The sequence below is a fragment of the Homo sapiens genome, chromosome 11 (assembly GCF_000001405.40).
Source record: "Homo sapiens chromosome 11, GRCh38.p14 Primary Assembly".
In the NCBI taxonomy this organism is placed as follows: Eukaryota; Metazoa; Chordata; class Mammalia; order Primates; family Hominidae; genus Homo; species Homo sapiens.
The window spans coordinates 124,985,681-125,005,008 of NC_000011.10; the positions used below are offsets into that span (position 1 = coordinate 124,985,681).

Consider the following 19,328-nt stretch of genomic DNA (forward strand, 5'->3'; position numbering starts at 1 on the left):
TTTTTATTATCAAATTGTTAAGTGTTTATATATATATAAATTTATACATAAAATGTATATATATAATATGTATATATTCTGGATACAAGTTCCTTATCAGATAGTTGATTTGCAAGTATTTTCTCCCATTCTGTAGACTGTTATCTTACTTGATTAATAGTATTGTTTATGGCATAAGATTTTTAAATTAGTCACTTCTTTTTTTCTTATGTTGCTTGTGCTTTTGATGAATTATCTAATAATAATTGTTTATCTTGAGATCATGAAGATTTATTCCTATGTGTTCTTTTAAGATTTTATAGTTTTTAGCTCTTAATTTTAGGTCTGTGATCCATTTCGAGTTAATTTTTATGTATGCTGTAAATAAGTGGTTCATCTTCATTCTTTTGAATATAGGTGTCTAGTTGTCTCAGCATCACCTGTTGAAAACACTATTCTTTCCTCATTGAATTTTCTTGGTACTCTTGTCAAAAATCAATTGACTATAAATGTGAGGGTTTATTTCTGAACTTTGAGTTCTGTTCCATTGTTCTGTATGTGTCAGTATTACAATGTCTTGATTCCTATAACTTTGTGGTAACTTTTGAAATTGGGAGGAATGAGATCTTCATCTTTGTTCTTCTTTTTCAAGAAAGTGTTTTGCTACTATGGGTTCCTTGCATTTCCATCTGAATTTTATGATTAACTTGTTAATTTCTGCCAAAGAAAAGCCAAGTGGCATTTTGATAGGGAGTGTTGTAAATTTGAGAAATATTACCATCTTACCAATCTTTTCTCTTGATCCATGAACATGTTATGTCTTTCCATTTATTTTGATCATCTGTCATTTCTTTCAATTATCTTTTTAGTTTTCATTATACAGTCCTGCACTGTAAACATTGTATAACATTTGACTATGCTGACCTACTAAAATTATAATAGCAGTGACCTGAAGCCTAGAATTTTATTGCAATCACATTGTTTCTTCCTATAATAGCTACATGGTGCTGTGTGTGTGTGTGTGTGTGTGTTTGTGTGTGTGCGCGCGCGCGCGTGCGCGTTTTCATTGTTTTTTTCTTTAGGAACTTGACTATGAGGAACCTGACTATGAGGAATCTTCATCTCTTGTAACTGATGAGAAAGGGAAAGAAGATTTGTTTGGGAGAGGCCAGCAGGACCAGCAGGCTATCCATTCTGAAGATAAGAACAAACCTTTCAGCAGAGTTCAGGTAAAGCAATAAGAGAAATTAAATTAATTGTGATTTGGACTAGGTATTGCCAGTAATGTTGTACTGATTTAGGATTGTAGATTTAGCTTTTGTTAAGTTGGACAAAGATTATAATTTCACATTTTGTTCTAGTAATTTGCTTCACTGCCATATCATTTTGATATTTCGATTATTTTGGAAAATCTAGAGTATTGCTACTAACTCACATTCTGTATTTGGTGTTTATGTTCACTTTTAGAAAGTAAAATTCAAAAATCCATTATTTGTTCTGATGGAAGAGGAAGAACAAAAGCAGTTACATTTTGAGGGCCTTCAGGATATTCTGCCAGAAGCCCAGGATTATTTTCTAGAAGCCCAAGGTGATTTGCTGGAAACCCAGGGTGATTTGACAGGAATCCAGAGTGTTAAGCCAGATACCCAGGCTGTTGAAATGAAGGTTCAGGTTACTGAGCCAGAAGGCCAGGCCATTGAGCCAGAAGGCCAGCCTATTAAGACAGAAACTCAGGGTATTATGCTGAAAGCCCAGAGTATTGAGCTAGAAGAAGGGAGTATTGTGTTGAAAACCCAGGATTTTCTACCCACAAATCAGGCTCTTCTAACGAAAAACCAGGATGTTTTACTCAAAGACCACTGTGTTCTCCCTAAAGACCAGAGTATTCTACTCAAATATCAGGACCAGGACTTCCTACCCAGAGACCAGCATGTTCTCCACAAAGACCAAGATATTCTGCCAAAATATCAGGACCAGAATTTTCTACCTAAGGACCAGAATTTTTTATCTAGAGACCAGCATGTTCTCCCCAAAGACCAAGATATTCTGCCAAAATATCAGGACCAGAATTTTCTACCTAAGGACCAGAATTTTTTGTCTAGAGACCAGCATGTTCTCCCCAAAGACCAGAATATTCTACCTAAATATCAAGGCCAGGATTTTCTACCTAAAGACCAGGACTTTTTATCTAGAGACCAGCATGTTCTCCCCAAAGACTGGAATATTCTACCCAAATGTCAGGACCAGGATTTTCTACCCAGAGACCAAGGTGTTCTTCCCAAAGACCAAAATATTCTACCCATATGTCAGGACCAGGATTTTCTACCCAGAGACCAAGGTTATCTTCCTAAAGACCAAAATATTCTACCCATATGTCAGGACCGGGATTTTCTACCCAGAGACCTGCATGTTCTCTCCAACGACCAGAATATTCTACCCAAATGTCAGGACCAAGATTTTCTACCAAAATATCAGGTAAAATAGAGCAGAAAGGAGATACAAAAAGAAGAAATAAGCTACTTAGGGTTTGAGGAGGGATTTGTAAGGACTGCAAGTATACCTTGGAGATACTGTGGGTTCAGTTCCAGGCCATTGCAATAAAGCAAATATTGGAATAAAGTAAGTCACACAAATTTCTTGGCTTCCCAGTACATATAAAAGTTATGTTTATATTGTACTGTAGTTTATTAGTGTGCAATAGCATAATGCCTAAAAAAAGTACATACCTTAATTTAAAAATACTTTATTGCTAAAAAATGCTTACGATTATCTGAGTCTTCGGCAAGCCATAATCTTTTTGCTGGTGGAGGGTCTTGGCTCAATGTTGTTATCTGCTGACTAATCAGGGTGGTGATTACTGATGTTTGGGGTGGCTGTGGAAGTTACTTAAGATGATGAAGTTTGCCACATCATTTGACTCTTCCTTTCACGAAACATTTCTCTGTAGCATGTGATAATGTTTGATAGCATTTGATCTACAGTAGAACTTCTTTCAGAATTGGAATCAATTCCCTCAAACCCTGCCACTGCTTTATCAGCTAAGTCCGTGTAATATTCTAAACCCTTTGTTGTCATTTTAACAATGTTCACAGTAGATTCCATCTCAAGAAAACACTTTCTTTGCTCATCATAAGAAGTAACTCCTTATCCATTTAAGTTTGAACATGAGATTGCAGCAATTCACTCACATCTTCAGGCTCCACTTCTAATTCTAGTTCTCTTGCTGTTTCTACCACATTACAATTACTTCCTTCACTGAAGTCTTGAATGCCTCAAAGTCCATGAGGGTTCGAATCAACTTCTTCCAAACTCCTGTTAAGGTTGATATTTTGACCTCCTCCCATGATTCATGAATGTTCTTAATGGCATCAAGATGGTGGACCCTTTCCAGAGGGTATCAACTTACTTTGCCCATATCTATCAGAGGAATTGCTGTCCGTGACAGAAATGTATTTTATAAATAACAAGACTTGAAAGTCAAAATTATTTCTTGATCCACAAACTACAGAATGGATGTTGTGTTAGCAGCCATGAAAAAACAACATTAATCTCCTTGTATATCTTCATCAGAGCTCTTGGGTGACTAGGTGCATTGTCAATGAGCAGTTTAAAAGGCATCTTTATTTTTTTTGGAACAGTTGGTCTCAACAGTAAGTGTAAAATATTCTGTAAAACATGCTGTAAACAGATGTGCTGTCATCTTGGCTTTGTTATTCCCTTCACAAAGCACAAGAAAAGTAGATTTAGTGCCATTCTTACGGGTCCTAGGACTTTTGGAATGGTAAATGTGCATTGGCTTCAACTTAAAGTCACCAGCTGCATTAGCCACTAACAAGAGAGTCAGCCTGTCCTTTGAAACTTTGAAGCCAGACATTGACTTTTTCTCTCTAGCTGTGAAACTCCTAGTCATCTTCTTCCAATATAAGGCTGTTTTGTCCAAACTGAAAATCTGTTGTCCAGTGTAGCCACCTTCATCAGTGATCTTAGCTAGATCTTCTAGATAACTTGCTGTAGCCTCTCATCAGCACTTACCGCTTCACCTTGCCCTTTGATGTTATAGAGACACCTTATTTCCTTAAACCTCATGAACCAACCTCTGCTAACTTCCAACTTTTCTTCTGTAGTTTTTTCACTTCTCTCAGCCTTCATAATATTGAAGAGAGTTAGGGCCTTGCTCTGGATCAGGCTTTGGCTTAAGGAGCTGTTGTGGCTGGTTTGATCTGTCCATACTGCTAAAACATTTTGCATATCAGCAATAAGGCTATTTTGCTTTCTTATCATGTATTCACTGGAGTAGATTTTAATTTCCTTCAAGAACTTTTCCTTTGCATTCACACAGGGCTGTTTGGTACAAGAGGCCTAGCCTTCGGACTGTCTTGGCTTTCAACAGGCCTGTTTCACTAAGCTTAATAATTTCTAGCTGTTGCTTTAAAGTGGGAGACATGTGGTTCTTTCTTTCACTTGAACACTTAGAGACCATTGTAGGGTTATTAATTGGCCTAATTTCAATATTGTTGTGTCTCAGTGAATAGGGAGGCCTAAGGAGAGGTAGGGGGGTGGCCAGGTGGTAGAACAGTGAGAACACACACAACATTTATCAGTTAGGTTTGCTGTCTTAGATGAGCGTGGTTATGGTGCCCCAAAACAATTAGGATAGTAACATCAGAGATCACTGATCATAGATCTCTATACCAGATATAATAGTAATGGAAAAGTCTGAACTATTGTGAAAATTTCCAAAATGTGACACAGAGACATTACACGAGCACATGCTGTTGGAAAAGTGACACCAGTGTATTGGCTTGACGTATGATTGCCACAAACCTTCAGTTTGTAAAAAACACAACATCTGCAAAGCATAATAAAAATAGGTATGCTGTATATTGTACCTGATTTGGAGATCCATACTTGGAAAAAATAGTTTCTTGATTGATTTCTCAAAACTCCAGTGCTCTTACTAAATGTTAAAGTATTACCAGCAGCATATTACTCCAAATAAACAATTTGCTGTTTCTTTTCTTTTTATTCAATTTTTTAAATCAACACTCTACCCAGATTTTGTGAACAATTTAATTTTTTATTTTTAATCTTCTTCATTGGGAGAAATATTTCTGGCAGCCATTATCTGCTTAGACAGCTGAAAGATGGAAAAAGGAGTGGTCCATAAGTACTCAGCAGTATCTTTCACACAGGTTCCAAGGCCATCCCTCCACCAGAGATGAGTTAGACTAAAAGGAAGAAGAAAGACCAACAGGAATTAGATTACTTAGGGTTGTGGTTGGACTTTTGTGGAATGGAGTGTAGTTTTTGGTTTTTCCATAAGGTGCTCAATTATATTCTGATCTTGGTTAACTCCAGAATTCTCACTAAAACCTAAAGTCTTAACCTGTCATTCTTAACGGAGCAATTGATATGTTGTGTTTGTTCTTTCATAGAAAGCAAGTCTGAAGCAGCCAACATCCATTTTGATAGGTAGGAGAGGGAGAGAGGCACTTCCTCTGGATGTCCATCAGGATCTTCTATGCAGGCATCATCAGGCCTCCATCAGAGGCAAGGTAGAAAAGAAAAATGACAGAGACCAACAGGAACTGAATTGTTTAGAGTGTAGTTTGAAGCTTTCAAAGGTTGTTCTCAGCTAAACTTCAGAACTGACAAAAAGTATGAGTGTCTCTTTTATTCCATAATGTTTTATATTATCCTGAAAAAAACTACCCTTTGGCCTTCAATGAAGCCTAGAATATTATTGCCATCATATTAGTCTTGCTAGACAATTTATAGTTTTTTATTATTTTATCTTTTAGAAAGTACACTTTAAGGAGCCATACTCTGATATGACAGATGAGAAAGGGAGAGAAGACTTTTCTCTGGCAGACTATCAGTGTTTGCCTCCCAAATCCCAGGACCAGGATGACATCAAAAATCAGGTAGAGTAGAAGAAAAAGATATAAACAGGAAGGAAGTACCCAGGTTTTATAAATCCCAACAACTGGTAATTTAGAATGAGGGATTTTGGAGCTAACCTAAGAATATAGTGGCTTTTTTCTGATGGAGTCTTTCTCTGTCGCCCAGGCTGGAGTGCAGTGGCACAATCTCGACTCATTGCAACCTCTGCCTCCTGGGTTCAAACGATTCTCCTGCCTCAGCCTCCCGAGTAGCTGGGATTACAGGCGCATGCCAGCACGCCTGGCTAATTTTTGTTTTTTTAGTAGAGATGGGGTTTCAACATGTTGGCCAGGCGGGTCTCGAACTCCTGACCTCAGGTGATCTGCCCGCCTCTTCCTCCCAAAGTGCTGGGTTTACAGGCGTAAGCCACTGTCCCCGGCCAGAATACAGTATTTTTTATTCCTTCCCACATTAGTGGGAAGATGATCCTAAGTCCTATTAGAACAGAGGAACTGCTTCAGGAGCATAGAGTGTTAAACACTAAACAATTCAGTTCCTCCTGGTCTCTCTCCTTTTTGTTTTTTTCTCTTCTACTTTGTACTTCAGTGGTACAAAAGACCCTGGTCTAGGGAACTATATGAGTCAAAATCAGTTCAGTGATTTCTGAGGCTGATGTATCACGTTCATATCTTATTCCAGAATCAGTTGACTATTTTAATTTAACAAGATTATTCTTCAACTCTTACCAAAGCCAACAGTATTGCTGCAAGCATAATGCCCCTACATGTACAATGTAGGAACTAGAAGATACTTAGGATTTGATGAGTTTGTCAGACTATTCTGTCAATGATGGGATTAAGAATTAAGGTCTACATAGTTGAGCTAAAAGTGTAACATCTCCCTCATATCAAAACGTATCAGAATATTTTTACCTGGTTTCATTTCTCTGGAGTTTTCACTGAAGCTTATGATATTATGATTAGCATTACACAATTTTTTTTCTGTTGTTGTTTTTCCTTTAAAATATGTTTCTCAAGCAACCTGCATCTTTTATGAGAGAAGAAAGAGTGAGAGAAGAATTGCCTCTGGACTATCATCAATATGTTGTACCTAAAATCCAGGACCAAGACTCCCCTAGAGAACAGGTAGAACCGAATACAGTAGGAGGACTGTATACCTTCTAAAAGGGGAACAAGCCTAAATCATATTAACATTGAGGCTGAAGCCTGTCAAGCTAGCTTGTTTGTGGAATACATAGAATTAAGGCCTCCAGAATTAAGCTAAGAGTATAATGTTTTTGGTTATTTCAAAATGTGCCAGAATAATCTGGAATTTGCTTTAAAATACTCCAGGAAAAACATTGGAGAAGAGATAGATAATAAAGCAAAATGTTGCTAATTGTTGAATCTGGGTAATTGTTGAATCTTGAGATTCATTATACTTTTTTTTTTTCTACTTTGATGCAAGTTTGGAAATTTTTATGTTGAACACACACACAGCTTTAACTGTGTTCTATTATCCTCACCTAGTGTCATTACTCTGGGATTGTCACTGAAGTCTATAATACTGTCACTAGCCCGTCATTTCTGCTTAGACAATCAGTTTTGTATTTTGTTGTTCCTTTAGAACAAGCATATCAAACTACCCTCATCTTTTGAGAAATGGGAGATTGCAAGAGGAAATACTCCTGGAGTGCCCTTGGTATGTTTCACACAATATTCAAGATCTAGTCTCTTCTAGAGAAGTAGAGCAGAATATAGTGAGTAAGTAACAGAGTGTAAATTGCTTTTTTTTTGGCTGAAGATTGACAGGGCAATGTAACTGCTTCAGGAATTTAGTGTTAAGGTTAGTAATAACGGGCAAAGAATATAACGTTCTTTTGTTCTGTGATGTATCACACCATTCTGACCTATTGAAACTACCTCAGTCTTCTTGACTGAAGCTTTTACCATTGCCACAGGAATGATGATCCCGCTTGGATAACTTATGTTCAGTGTTTATGTTGTCTTTTAGCACAGGAACTATGAGTAGGCCTCACGTGATATGAGAGATGAGAGATGGAGGAAGGAGTTACTTCCATAGCGCCATGGATATATTTTACATGAAATCCAAGATCCAGGCTCTGCCAGAGAGCAGGTAGAGCAGGGTGTATTAAAGAGTAAGCAACAGAAAGCAAATTAGAGTTTGAGCTGGGCTTGTCATAGTTTCGTTACCAAAAAAGATCATGATGATCACGTTATCTGTTTTTAAGATTAGCAATAGTGTTATTAATATTATTATGAATAACAGCTTACATTCATTGAACACTTACCACAGCCAAAATGGTTTTAGAATTTTATATGAAGTATCTTATTTGATTTTCATAATAACCATAGAAGATAGATACTATTATTATCCTTGGATTATAGATGAAATTGAAGATTGCTTCGCAGGTAGAGTTAAGATCCAGAATGGTGACAAGAAGTATAATGTCTGCTTTTATGCCATAATATATCAGACTATTCTGACTCATTTAGATTACTTCAGGGCTATCACTGAAGCTTACAGTATTATCACTACTGTGATACCCCTGCTCACACAATTTGGTAAGTGTTTTTGTATCTTTTAGAACTTATACATTAGGCAGCAGCTATCTGTTTGGTCAGCTGAAAGACGGCCACAGGATTTGCTTCTGGGTGGCCATTAGCACCTTTCACCCATGCACCAGAGAGATACTTCCAGCAGACGACAGGTAGAGCACATCACAGGGTATGAGCAGTGGAATTTGGACAAGATTATAGGTACCTACTAAACTGGGAGTGGTCAGGCTGATCAAGAAGCACATTCCTGTTTTATTTCATACAGCGCAAAATGTATCCTGATATTATTATCCTAATCCTAAGATTATTTTAGGTCTCCCATTGAAACCTAGGGTATTTTGGGGAGCATTTATTGTCCATTTGAAAAACTATATTTTAGATGTATTTTTATAAAAGGTATATTTCTGATGGCCATTGTCTTTTACAGTGTGAGAGGGGAAGAAATGAGCAGTTTCTGAGGGCAGGGGTTATGAGGATCTTCCACCCCATGGCCAGTACTAGATCTCCATCAGTAAGCTGGTAGAGCATAAGGCAGGCTCACCAAGAAATAAACTAATCAGGTTTGGGCTGGAGCTTGTTAGGTTTCTGTTGCCTAAGGTTTGGGGGCATTGAGTTAAGATCTGTAGTTTTTCAAGAAAATGTTACAACATCCTGGCCTACTAAGATTTTTCCGTGGCTTAACTGAAGTTTAGTTTATTATCACTGGAATTTTACCCCTCTGTGCATAATTTTTATTTTCTGATTTTATGTTTTTAAAAATGAAGGCTTACGGCAACCAGCAGTGTTAGGCTGTGTGAGAGACTGAAGAGAAATTTTCTCTTGGCCTCTTTAAGAGGGCAAAATTCAAAGGAGGCAAAGAAGCAGAAAATAGAGTTTGGGCTGCGGTTTTCAGGACTGAACTGCAACTCTTGGTGATTTTTAGTTTGGGTCTGTAAGGTTGGCCTAAGGGTATGCTGCTGTGTTTTAGTCTACATTGTCATTTATACATCCTGAGCCCTGCCAGGCTCTTTCCTACCTCAGGTCTTTTGCATATGTTGTTTCCTCTTGTCTGGGTAGTCTTCCCTTTTTTCTTCATAAAGTCGGTCCCTTCTTATCCTTCGGGTTTCAGCTTAAATGTCACCTCCTTGGAAAAGGCTATCCTTACCACCTTATCAAAAATAGATCTCCTTTTTTCTGTTTTTCTCTATCCTTGCATTCTGTTTGTTGCCTTTTCAGTACAAAACAATTTGTAGTTAATTATTAATTTGCTTGTTTTCTTATTGTCTGGAGATTTCCCACTAGCCCATAAGCTTCTTGAGAGAGGTACCATACCTGTTTTGTTTACCATTGTATGAACAGCACTTGGCACAGTGGCTAGTACCTAGTAGTCACTTGGTAGATAGGTTTTGAATGTGTTAGTTGATCAGTCAAACATCTATTGAGCACGTTTTAGGTGTTAGCCATTGTTTAAGTCCTAAATATCAAAGATACAGTTGTGAGCAAGACACGACACTCAAATTTCAGACAATCTAAAGAAGAGAGACTGATACATAAACATAATTATGCAGCAGCATAATTAGTGATAGAGGACGCATGGGGCATTCACAAAGCACACAAGAGGGGTACTTACTCTGGACTATTCAATTCAGGTTACAGCTTTGGTGATCTGAATCTCTTCTTGTCCTTCTGCTGTTACTATCCCTGGAAATTTTCAACCCTGGAATAGCCTTTTCTCCTTTTTTTTTTTTGAGACAGAGTCTTACTCTGTCACCTAGGCTGGAGTGCAGTTGCGCAATCTCAGCTCACTGCAACTCCGCCTCCCGGGTTCAAGTGATTCTTGTGCCTCAGCCTCCTGAGTAGCTGGGACTACAGGCATGTGCTACCAAGCCTGGCTAATTTTTGTATTTTTAGTAGAGATGGGGTTTCGTCATGTTTGCCATGCTGGTCTCAAACTCCTGACCTCAGGTGACCCTCCCACCTGAGCCTCCCAAAGGTGCTGGGATTACAGGTGTGAGCCACTGTACCTGGCCATCTTTTCACCTTTTACGCTGCCAAATAATCCAGCCTTTTTGAACAAAACACTTTAATAGTATAGATTTATATCACATTCATACTTAGGGTTCCCAGGGCTGCCCAGTGCCCTACCCTGACTATTCTAAATCTTAAACTCTCCTTAAACTTCCTGCTGCACCCCCATATTCTCAACTTTCATACGGAAAATAAAAGCTATCACACAATAACTGCCTTAACCATTTACTTTCTTTTTGTTGCTATTATTACTTATTCCTACTATCTCAGAGGAAAAGTTTTCTCTTCAAGCCCCACCAGCTAATTCTCTCCTCTTCAGAGTTAATCACTGTCAAGAGTTGTATGCATCCTTTGAGTCCTCTTTATAAGCATTTATACACATGTAAATATAGACACATTAAAAATTGTGATAAAATATACATACCGTAAAATTTCCCATTTTAATCCTTTTTAGGTATACAGTTCAGTGGTGTTAAGTACACTCACATTGTTGTGCAACCATCACCACCATCCATCTCCAGAGTTTTTTCCATCTTGTAAAACTGAGACCATATACCCGTTAAACAGTAATTTCTCAGTCTCTTCTCCCCATGTCCCTGGCAACCACCATTCTACTTTCTGTATTCATGAATTTGATTACTCTCGGTACCTCATATGAGTGAAATCATACAGTATTTGCCCTTTTGTGCCTGCCTTATTTCACTTAGCATAATGCTATGGCATATTATAGGAGTTACTTCCTTTTTAAGGCTGAATAGCATTCCACTGAATGTATATACTACATTTTGATTACCCATTTATCCATTGACTGTTCCACAATCAGTTTTCTCTGTTGTAGACCTTCCTGTACAGTATGAATCCTGTTGTGTAAGGTTCCTTTTGCTCAGCATAATGTTTCTGAGATTCATTCATATTGCTGCATCAATAATGTATTCTTTGCGTTGCTGTATAGCATTCCGTTATTTGAATATATCACAGTTTGTTTATTCAATCTCCTATTGATGGACATCTGGGTTGTTTCCTGTTTGTAGCTAGTTGATACTGGGAATGGGGTGCTGCTACAACAAATATCGAAAAAATGTGGAAATGGCTAAAAAAATGGGTAATGGATAGAGGTGAAGAATTTTGAGGCCCATGACAGAGAAAGCCTGTATCATTTTTTAAATTATTGTTATATTTTGAAACAGACTGTCACTCAGTTGCCCAGGCTGGATTGCAGTGGTACAATCATAGCTCACTGAAGCCTCAAATGAGTGGCTCAAGTGATCCTCCTGCCTCAGCCTCCTAAGTAGCTAGGACTAGAGGTTGTGCTACCCATGCTTGGCTAATGTTTATATTTTTGTAGAGACAGGGTCTTGCTGTGATGCCTACTCTGGTCTTGAGCTCCCGGCCTCAAGTGATCCTCCTGCCTCAGCCTCCCAAAGTGTTAGGATTGCAGGTGTGAGCCACTGCTCCTGGCCATCATTTTAGAGAATATCTTCGTTGTTATAAGCAAAATATTGGTGGAAATGTCTACATTAAAGATACTGCCAACTGGGCATGGTGGCTCATGCCTATAATCCCAGCACTTTGGGAGGCTGAGGTGAACGGATCACTTGAGACCAGGAGTTTGAGACCAGACTTGCCAACAAGGTGAAACCCTGTTTCTACTAAAAATATAAAAATTAGACAGGCATGGTGGCATGCACCTGTAATCGCAGCTACAGGGGTGGCTGAGGCACAAGAATCACTTGAACTCAGGAGGCAGAGGTTGCAGTGAGCCGAGATCGCACCACTACACTCCAGCCTGGGTGACAAGAGCAAAACTCTGTCTCATAAATAAATAAATAAACAAACAAACTGCCAGTGAAGCTCAAGGAAATGAGGAACATGGAAACTGGGGGAAAGGTAATCCTTGTTATTTAGTGGTAGGAAGCTTAGCCAAATTGTGTCCTACAGTTGTATGGAAGGCATAACTTCTAAGCAATGAACTTGGAAATTTAGCTGAGATTTGCAAGCAAAGTGCTAAAGGTGCAGTGTGGTTTCTTCTTGTTGCCCCCCAGAGAGGCTGCCAGGGTCTGTCTGGAATCCCTCTCTCCATGTTGTGGACTAGAAATTATTCAGGCAGTAAGCTGGGACAGTTGTAGTGCTGACCACATTTGTTTACTGTCTATGAGAAATAATTATCCTGTGCTTCCTTATAGTCAGTGTTTAAAAACCATTGTTGTATAGATTTTTGTTTGTTTTTTGTTTTCTCAGTCTTCAGGCAGGAAGGTAAATTCCGTTCTATTATTGCATTGTGGCTTCAAGCAGAAGTCTCTTTATTTAAATATTACTTAATTTCATTCTAACTGACCTATTACCTTTTTGTCTCTATCTCTTCATATTATCTTATAATAGTTGCTGTGAGGATTACAATATACATACCAAACCTTTCACAGTCTACTTTGAGTTAATAGTTTACCACATTAAGTAAATGTAGAAGCTTTATAATCAGATAGGTCCTTTTCCCCTTTCTCCTTTATGTTATAATTGTCATAGGTGTTCCATCTATCTACACTGAAAACTCCATTTTTTTTTGCCTCCAATAATCATACATGTTTTTATGAAAAACTTGAGAGAGTCTCTACTTTTTTTTTTTTTTTTTGGAGACAGAGTCTCACTCTGTCGCCTAGGCAGGAGTGCAGTGGTGTGATCTCAGCTCACTGCAACCTCTGCTTCCCCAGGTTCAAGCGATTCTCCTGCCTCAGCCTCCTGAGTACCTGGGATTACAGGTGCATACCACTATGCCTGGATAATGTTTGTATTTTTAGTAGAGAAGGGGTTTCGCCATGTTAGTTAGGCTGGTCTCAAACTCCTGACCTCATGATCTGCCCGCCTCAGCCTCTCAAAGTGCTGGGATTACAGGCGTGAACCACTGCGCCCGGCCGAGAGTCTCTACTTATTGACTCTTTTTGTTGCTTGCACATTAGAAACATTTTTCCACTGTCTTCTGGTTTCCAGTCTTCGATAGCAAATTTGTAATTATTTGAGTCATTGTTCTTCTATATGTAATGTGTCTGTTTTTTCTGGCTACTTTCAAAACTCTTGTTATTTTTTGGTTTCCAGCAGTTTAATTATGATGTGTCTGGGCATAATGTTTTTTAGTTTATCCCATCTCAGGTATGATGAACATTTTCAATCTGTAAATCTATATCTTTGACCAAATTTGGGAAGTTTTTTGCCATTATGTCTCCAAATTTTTTTATGTACTAATTATTTTCTCCTTTCCTTCTGCAACTCCAGTTACACAAATTTTAGACCTTTTGATATTGTCCCACAGATGCATCATTTACATGCTGTTCATTTTTTTTTTCAGTCTTATTTTTTCTCTTTGTTCTTCACAGTGGATCATTTATATTGATCCAATAGATTCAAGTTCACTGACTTTTTTTTCATTCTTCTATTGAGTCTATCCAGTGAAATTTTGATTTCACATATTGTGTTTTTCTGTCTCTAAAATTTGGATCTGCATTTTTTTAATAGTTTTTATTTTTGTGGTGAGAACTTTTGTATTTTCATTCACTTCAATTGGGTTTGCCTTTACCTCATAGATAAAGTATTAATCACTGCTTTAAAAGTTTTGTCTGTTAATTCAACATCCGGGTCACCCTGGAGTTGGGATCTGTTTATTATCTTTACCCCTCAGAATTGGTCACATCTTCCTGCTTTCTTCTATGTCAACTAATTTTAAGTTGTATCCTAGACTTTTTTTTTTTTTTTTTTTTTTTTTGAGATGGAGTCTTGCTCTGTCACCCAGGCTGGAGTGCAGTGGTGTGATCTTGGCTCACTGCAACCTCTGCTTCCTGAGTTCAAGTGATTCTCGTGTCTCAGCCTCCCTAGTAGCTGGGATTACAGGCGCCCACCACCACGCCTGGCTAATTTTTTTTATTTTTAGTGGAAACGGGGTTTCACCATGTTGGCCAGGCCGGTCTTGAACTCCTGACCTCAAGTAATCCACCCGCCTTGGCCTCCCAAAGTGCTGGGATTACAGGCATGAGCCACCATGCCAGGCTAATATTTCTAATATTGTATTTTGAGACTCTGGTTTCTGTTAAAATCCTCTAAAGAATATTGTATCTTTTATTTGTTTGTTTGTTGTAGCAGGCAGTCAGCCTGGTTAAATTCCAACTGTAAGTGATCTCTCCTATGCACCATGGCTTCAATGTTACTTTAGTTTTCAAAGCTTTCATTATACTCCTATAGGTCTGTCCCATACATGCACAATTCAAGGGGGATTCTGAGATATATGCCAGTTCACACACAGAATTAAGGGGTCCACTTTCTAGCTCACTTCTCTCTAGGTTACCCCCTATGCTCTCCATAGGGGGTAGATCCCAGGAGCTACATTTCTCAGAAGTCTTAGTTACAATCAATGAGAGCAAGAGAGAGAGCCCATAGTGTGCTTCGTCATTAGTACTGGGAGTCCAGTTTTCTTTATTGAAAACAGAAAGTAATTTCATTTTTATTGTAGAGAAGATAAACACAAATGAAAAAGATAACCACAAATTTTAGAGATATTTCACATTAACATTTTGCTGTATAGATTTTCAGACTTTTAGAGTCACAAAACAAATAAATAACTTCTAAAATAATAATAGCTTTATTGATATATACAGTTTATTCTTGTCATTCATAGTGGTTGTGTTATATAAAGTTGTTACAAACACTGAATCAGGAAATACTGAATTTTTGCTCCTAGGGGAGATACCAGGGGTAGATTCCTGCAAGCCTCTGGTCATACCATTTTTGTCAACTAATCAATACATAACCTTATTTTATATATATTTCTCTTTAAAACACCTTATTTAATATATATGATTGATCCGTTAACATGAACTCACAGCCAACAGCACTGTAACTCATGCTGGAATGAAGCTTATCTAACATGCATATTTTTTCCATAAGGTACACCACTGCCTTTTTGTGCTTAGTAATAATAGATAGTACTTCAGCTATGCATGGGGACCATTTTAACAGTGAAATCACCAACATAGAACACAAAAATGCAAAAACTTGGCACCAAATAGACTGCAAAAAGAACACTTGTTTACAGTATGAGAGCTGAAACAAAAAGGCAGAGTATCACCTTGGTCAGCCTCAGTTGGCAACATGCATATTGGATGACTCAAATTTTTCACAGCTCTGTGCATGTCTGCAAAGGCCTGCAAAAGCACCATAAGTATTGGGATTACACATAAATTTTAGTGAATAGGCAAATTTGCAAATGTGGAATATGCAAATAATGAATGACTATAATTCACATATACAATTGACCTATTAAAGTATACAGTATTTTTAGTATTCACAGGGTTGTGCAAAAATCACAGGTTGTGTTTGTGGCATTAACCACAATCAATCTGAGAACATTTTCATCACCCCCCAAAAGTCCTGTACCACGCCACTTTTCCCTTTAGCCCCACCTCCAGTCCTATGCAACCACTAAGCTATTTTCTGTCTTTACAGATTTGCCTATTCTGGGTAGTCTATGTAAAGGAGACCATGAAAGATGTGGCCTTTCGTGACTGGCTTCTTTCACTTAGCATGTGTTTTCAAAATCCATTGATGTAGCATATAGCAGTACTTTGTTCCTATTCATTGCTGAAAAATATTCCATTTTGTGCATATAGCACATTTTATTTATCAATTCATCTATTGATGGAAGTTTGGCTTATTTCTTCTTGGCTGTTAAGAATAGTACTGCTGTGAACATTTGTGTACAAGTTTTTTTTTTGTGGGCATATTTTTCACTTCTCTTGGTCATATTATACCTCATAGTGGAATTGGTGGAACGTATGATAACTGTGCTTAACCTTTTGAGGACCTGCCAAACTGATTTTTCCAAAGTAGCTGCACCATTTTTCATTCCCACCAGCGGTATATGAGGACTCAAATTTCTCCATATCCTCACCAACACTTGTTATTATCTGTATTTTTAATTATTGCCATCCAAGTGGGTGTGAAGTAGCATCTCACTGTACTTTTGATTTGTATTTTCCTGATAGCTAATGATGTTGAACACCTTTTCATGTGCTTACTGACCATTTGTATATCTTGTTTGGAGAACTGTTAGATGCTTTGCCCATTTTGTAATTGGGTTATTTGCGTTATGATTATTGAGTATGAGAATTCATAATATGTTCCACATACAAGTCCCTTATCAGATACATATGATTTGCAAATGTTTTTCTGTTCTGTGGGTTGCCTTTCACTTTCTTGATGGTTTCCTCTGCAGCACAAAAGTTTTTAATTTTGATAAAATCCGATTTGTCTACTTCTTCTTTCATGGTTTGTGCTTTTATTGTCATATCTAAGAACCCATTACCTAAGCCAAAATCACAAAGATTGACTCCTATGCGTTCCTCTAAGTCTTATAGTATTAGCTCTTATATTTAGGCCTATGATGCATTTTGAGTAAATTTTTGTGTGTAGTGTTAGGGAGCGGTCCAACTTCATTCTTTTGCATGTGGATAACCTGTGTCCCAGAATCATTTGTTAAAAAGCCGTTTATTTTTCAATTGAATTGTCTTGGCACTCTTATTGAAAATCAACTCATTATAAATGTAAGAGTTTATTTCTGAACTCTCACTTTTATTCCATTGATCTATAGCATATCTATCCTTGTATTAGTACAATTTGTCTTGATTATTATATCTTTGTAGTAAGTTTTGATGTTAGGAAGAGTGAGTCCCCTAACTTTGTTCTTTTTCAAGACTGTCTTAGCTATTCTGGGTCCCTTGCATATTCACAAGAATTTTAGGATCATCTTATCAATTTCTGCCAAGAATCAACTGACATTTTGATGGAGGATTATTAAATTTGTTGATCGATTTGGGGAATGCTGCCATCTTAACGATATTGGGTCTTCCAGTCCATAAACATGGGATGTCTTTCCATTATATATATCATCTTTCATTTTTTTAAAACAATGTTTTGTATGTTTCAGAGTATAAAATTCACACTTCCTCTGTTAAATTTCTAAGTGTTTTCTTCTTTTTGAAGATACTGTAAATGTAAATTTTTTCTTAATTTACTTTCTAGATTGTTCTTTACAAATATAGAAATACAATTGATTTTTGTATATTGATCATGTATCCTGCAACCTTGTTGAAAGATAAATAACTCTTAAACTTAAGAGATGAAATAATTTTAAACTTTTTATTTCTAAAAGTTGGAGATCATTATTTGACCCATGTAATGTCCAAGTAGATATACCAAGTTATGTTATAAGGCTTTCCCAGTAAACATGGGTGGAAATTAGCCTGTTTCTTCCATGCCATTCCAGTTGATTGATATAATATTTTCTCTGGACTCATGCCTACTAAGAGGGTTGTATAAATTCAAAGTGATCATATATAGAATTGAAATATTAAGGAATCTGGCTATTTATCCTAGATTCTATTCCAAGCGCACTCATGACAGTGATTTCAAGTGACCACTTTAAAAGAATTTTCATTCTGAACATTTTAATTTTTTGTTTATTCATGTTTTTGACCTGAACCCTTTTCTTCGATTTATTATTTTATGTTTGGTTACTTCCTTCTGAAACGGCTTCCTTTCATTCTTTTTTGATTTTATTCTTTATATTCATGTTTTTTCCCCTTCTTTATCCAATTGAGCCCAAGTTTGCAAAAGAAAAGAACAGATAAAAATATCAAAATTGTTCATGGGGTAGTTTTTGGTAATTTTGTCACTTTGTGTGACTGGACCTTCTTAACAGGCTTATGATAGGTATCAATCAGGATTGAGCACTGAATTCCAAGCTCCACTGGCATTTCAGTCTGACGTGGATAAAGAAGAAGATAAGAAAGAGGTATGTAATGATACTGCTTTTGGATCCCAATATTTCTACTATGATAGTATTAATATATGAGAAATTGGAAACAATTTGTTGTGTCCTAACACATAAAAGAGCTAATACCACAAATTTCATAAATCAAATAAAAGTTGCTTGACTCATTATAATGTGTTGAATTTATTTTCCAAGCTCCTATGAGTTAGGGTACATTGATGTGAAATCAATTATTTGATACTAATAAATTTCTCCAGCTAATGTATATTTGCCACTATAACTTATTTAAAGGAAGATAATTACTTTATGGCTTTCTTTTTTTTTTCTCTTTTCAATCTAAAGTTAGTTTAAACCGATAGTTCTTAACCCTGGCCATGCACCAGAATCAGATGGGGAGCTTTTTTCAAAATACAAATATGCCTAGATCTAAACCAGATATACCAAATCAGTATCTGAAAACGGAGGTTTAGGGCATTTTTGTTTTTTAAAAATACCACTGGTGATTCTGATGCATCCTCAGTATTAAGAGCTACTATTTAGAACTTCAGTAATTTTTACCAAAAAGCCCTGCACTACTTTGGTATATACATAGACATGCTTTTTGCTCATCGAATAGCTTGTGTATTTAAAAGAGTATATATAAATCCAGAGGAATGAACAGATCACACACAGTCTAGTAGCACTTGCTTTTATTCTACTTGTTTCATTTATGAGTCTGAGGCTTTAGTATACCTCAGCCCTTCTACCCTCCTCCGTGCCATGTTAGGCTAGGCTTAGAGTATGCTTTTGTGATACTGTTTTAATTTTGAAAAGTTAAAGTAACTATTGGTTCTGTTATGAAATATCTTCTACATTCTTTCTGTGGCTCTGCTTTTATGGTACTTACTACTTGGGAACACAGAGTAAATATTTCAGAGTAACAGAGTAAATACTTTCTCTGGTTTGCCTATTAACATATAATAGCCATGTGCTTGAAAATATAAAATTCTTGTGTATGTGACATCCTGAGTGACCATAGACAGAAGGAAATTAAAGACTTAATCATGTAACTTCTATATCATCTGTTTCTG

General features: G+C 37.1%; 1 protein-coding gene across 12 annotated transcripts in view; it reads left to right on the plus strand.

Moving 5' to 3' along the window:
* The window catches only part of CCDC15 (coiled-coil domain containing 15), an 87,288-nt gene that overhangs the window by 31,479 nt on the left and 36,481 nt on the right, over nucleotides 1-19,328 (plus strand). For 3 of the 12 annotated variants that reach the window (XM_017018346.2, XM_017018352.2, XM_017018349.2), the window contains 7 exons: nucleotides 1,062-1,208; nucleotides 1,447-2,454; nucleotides 5,415-5,534; nucleotides 5,781-5,903; nucleotides 6,900-7,007; nucleotides 7,489-7,563; nucleotides 18,187-18,279. In XM_017018346.2, coding sequence (XP_016873835.1) covers nucleotides 1,062-1,208; nucleotides 1,447-2,454; nucleotides 5,415-5,534; nucleotides 5,781-5,903; nucleotides 6,900-7,007; nucleotides 7,489-7,563; nucleotides 18,187-18,279 — 1,674 coding nt within the window. The remainder of the gene's footprint in view (nucleotides 1-1,061; nucleotides 1,209-1,446; nucleotides 2,455-5,414; nucleotides 5,535-5,780; nucleotides 5,904-6,899; nucleotides 7,008-7,488; nucleotides 7,564-18,186; nucleotides 18,280-19,328) is intronic. The other 9 variants (NM_025004.3, XM_047427628.1, XM_017018353.2 and 6 more) reach the window with 7 other exon arrangements.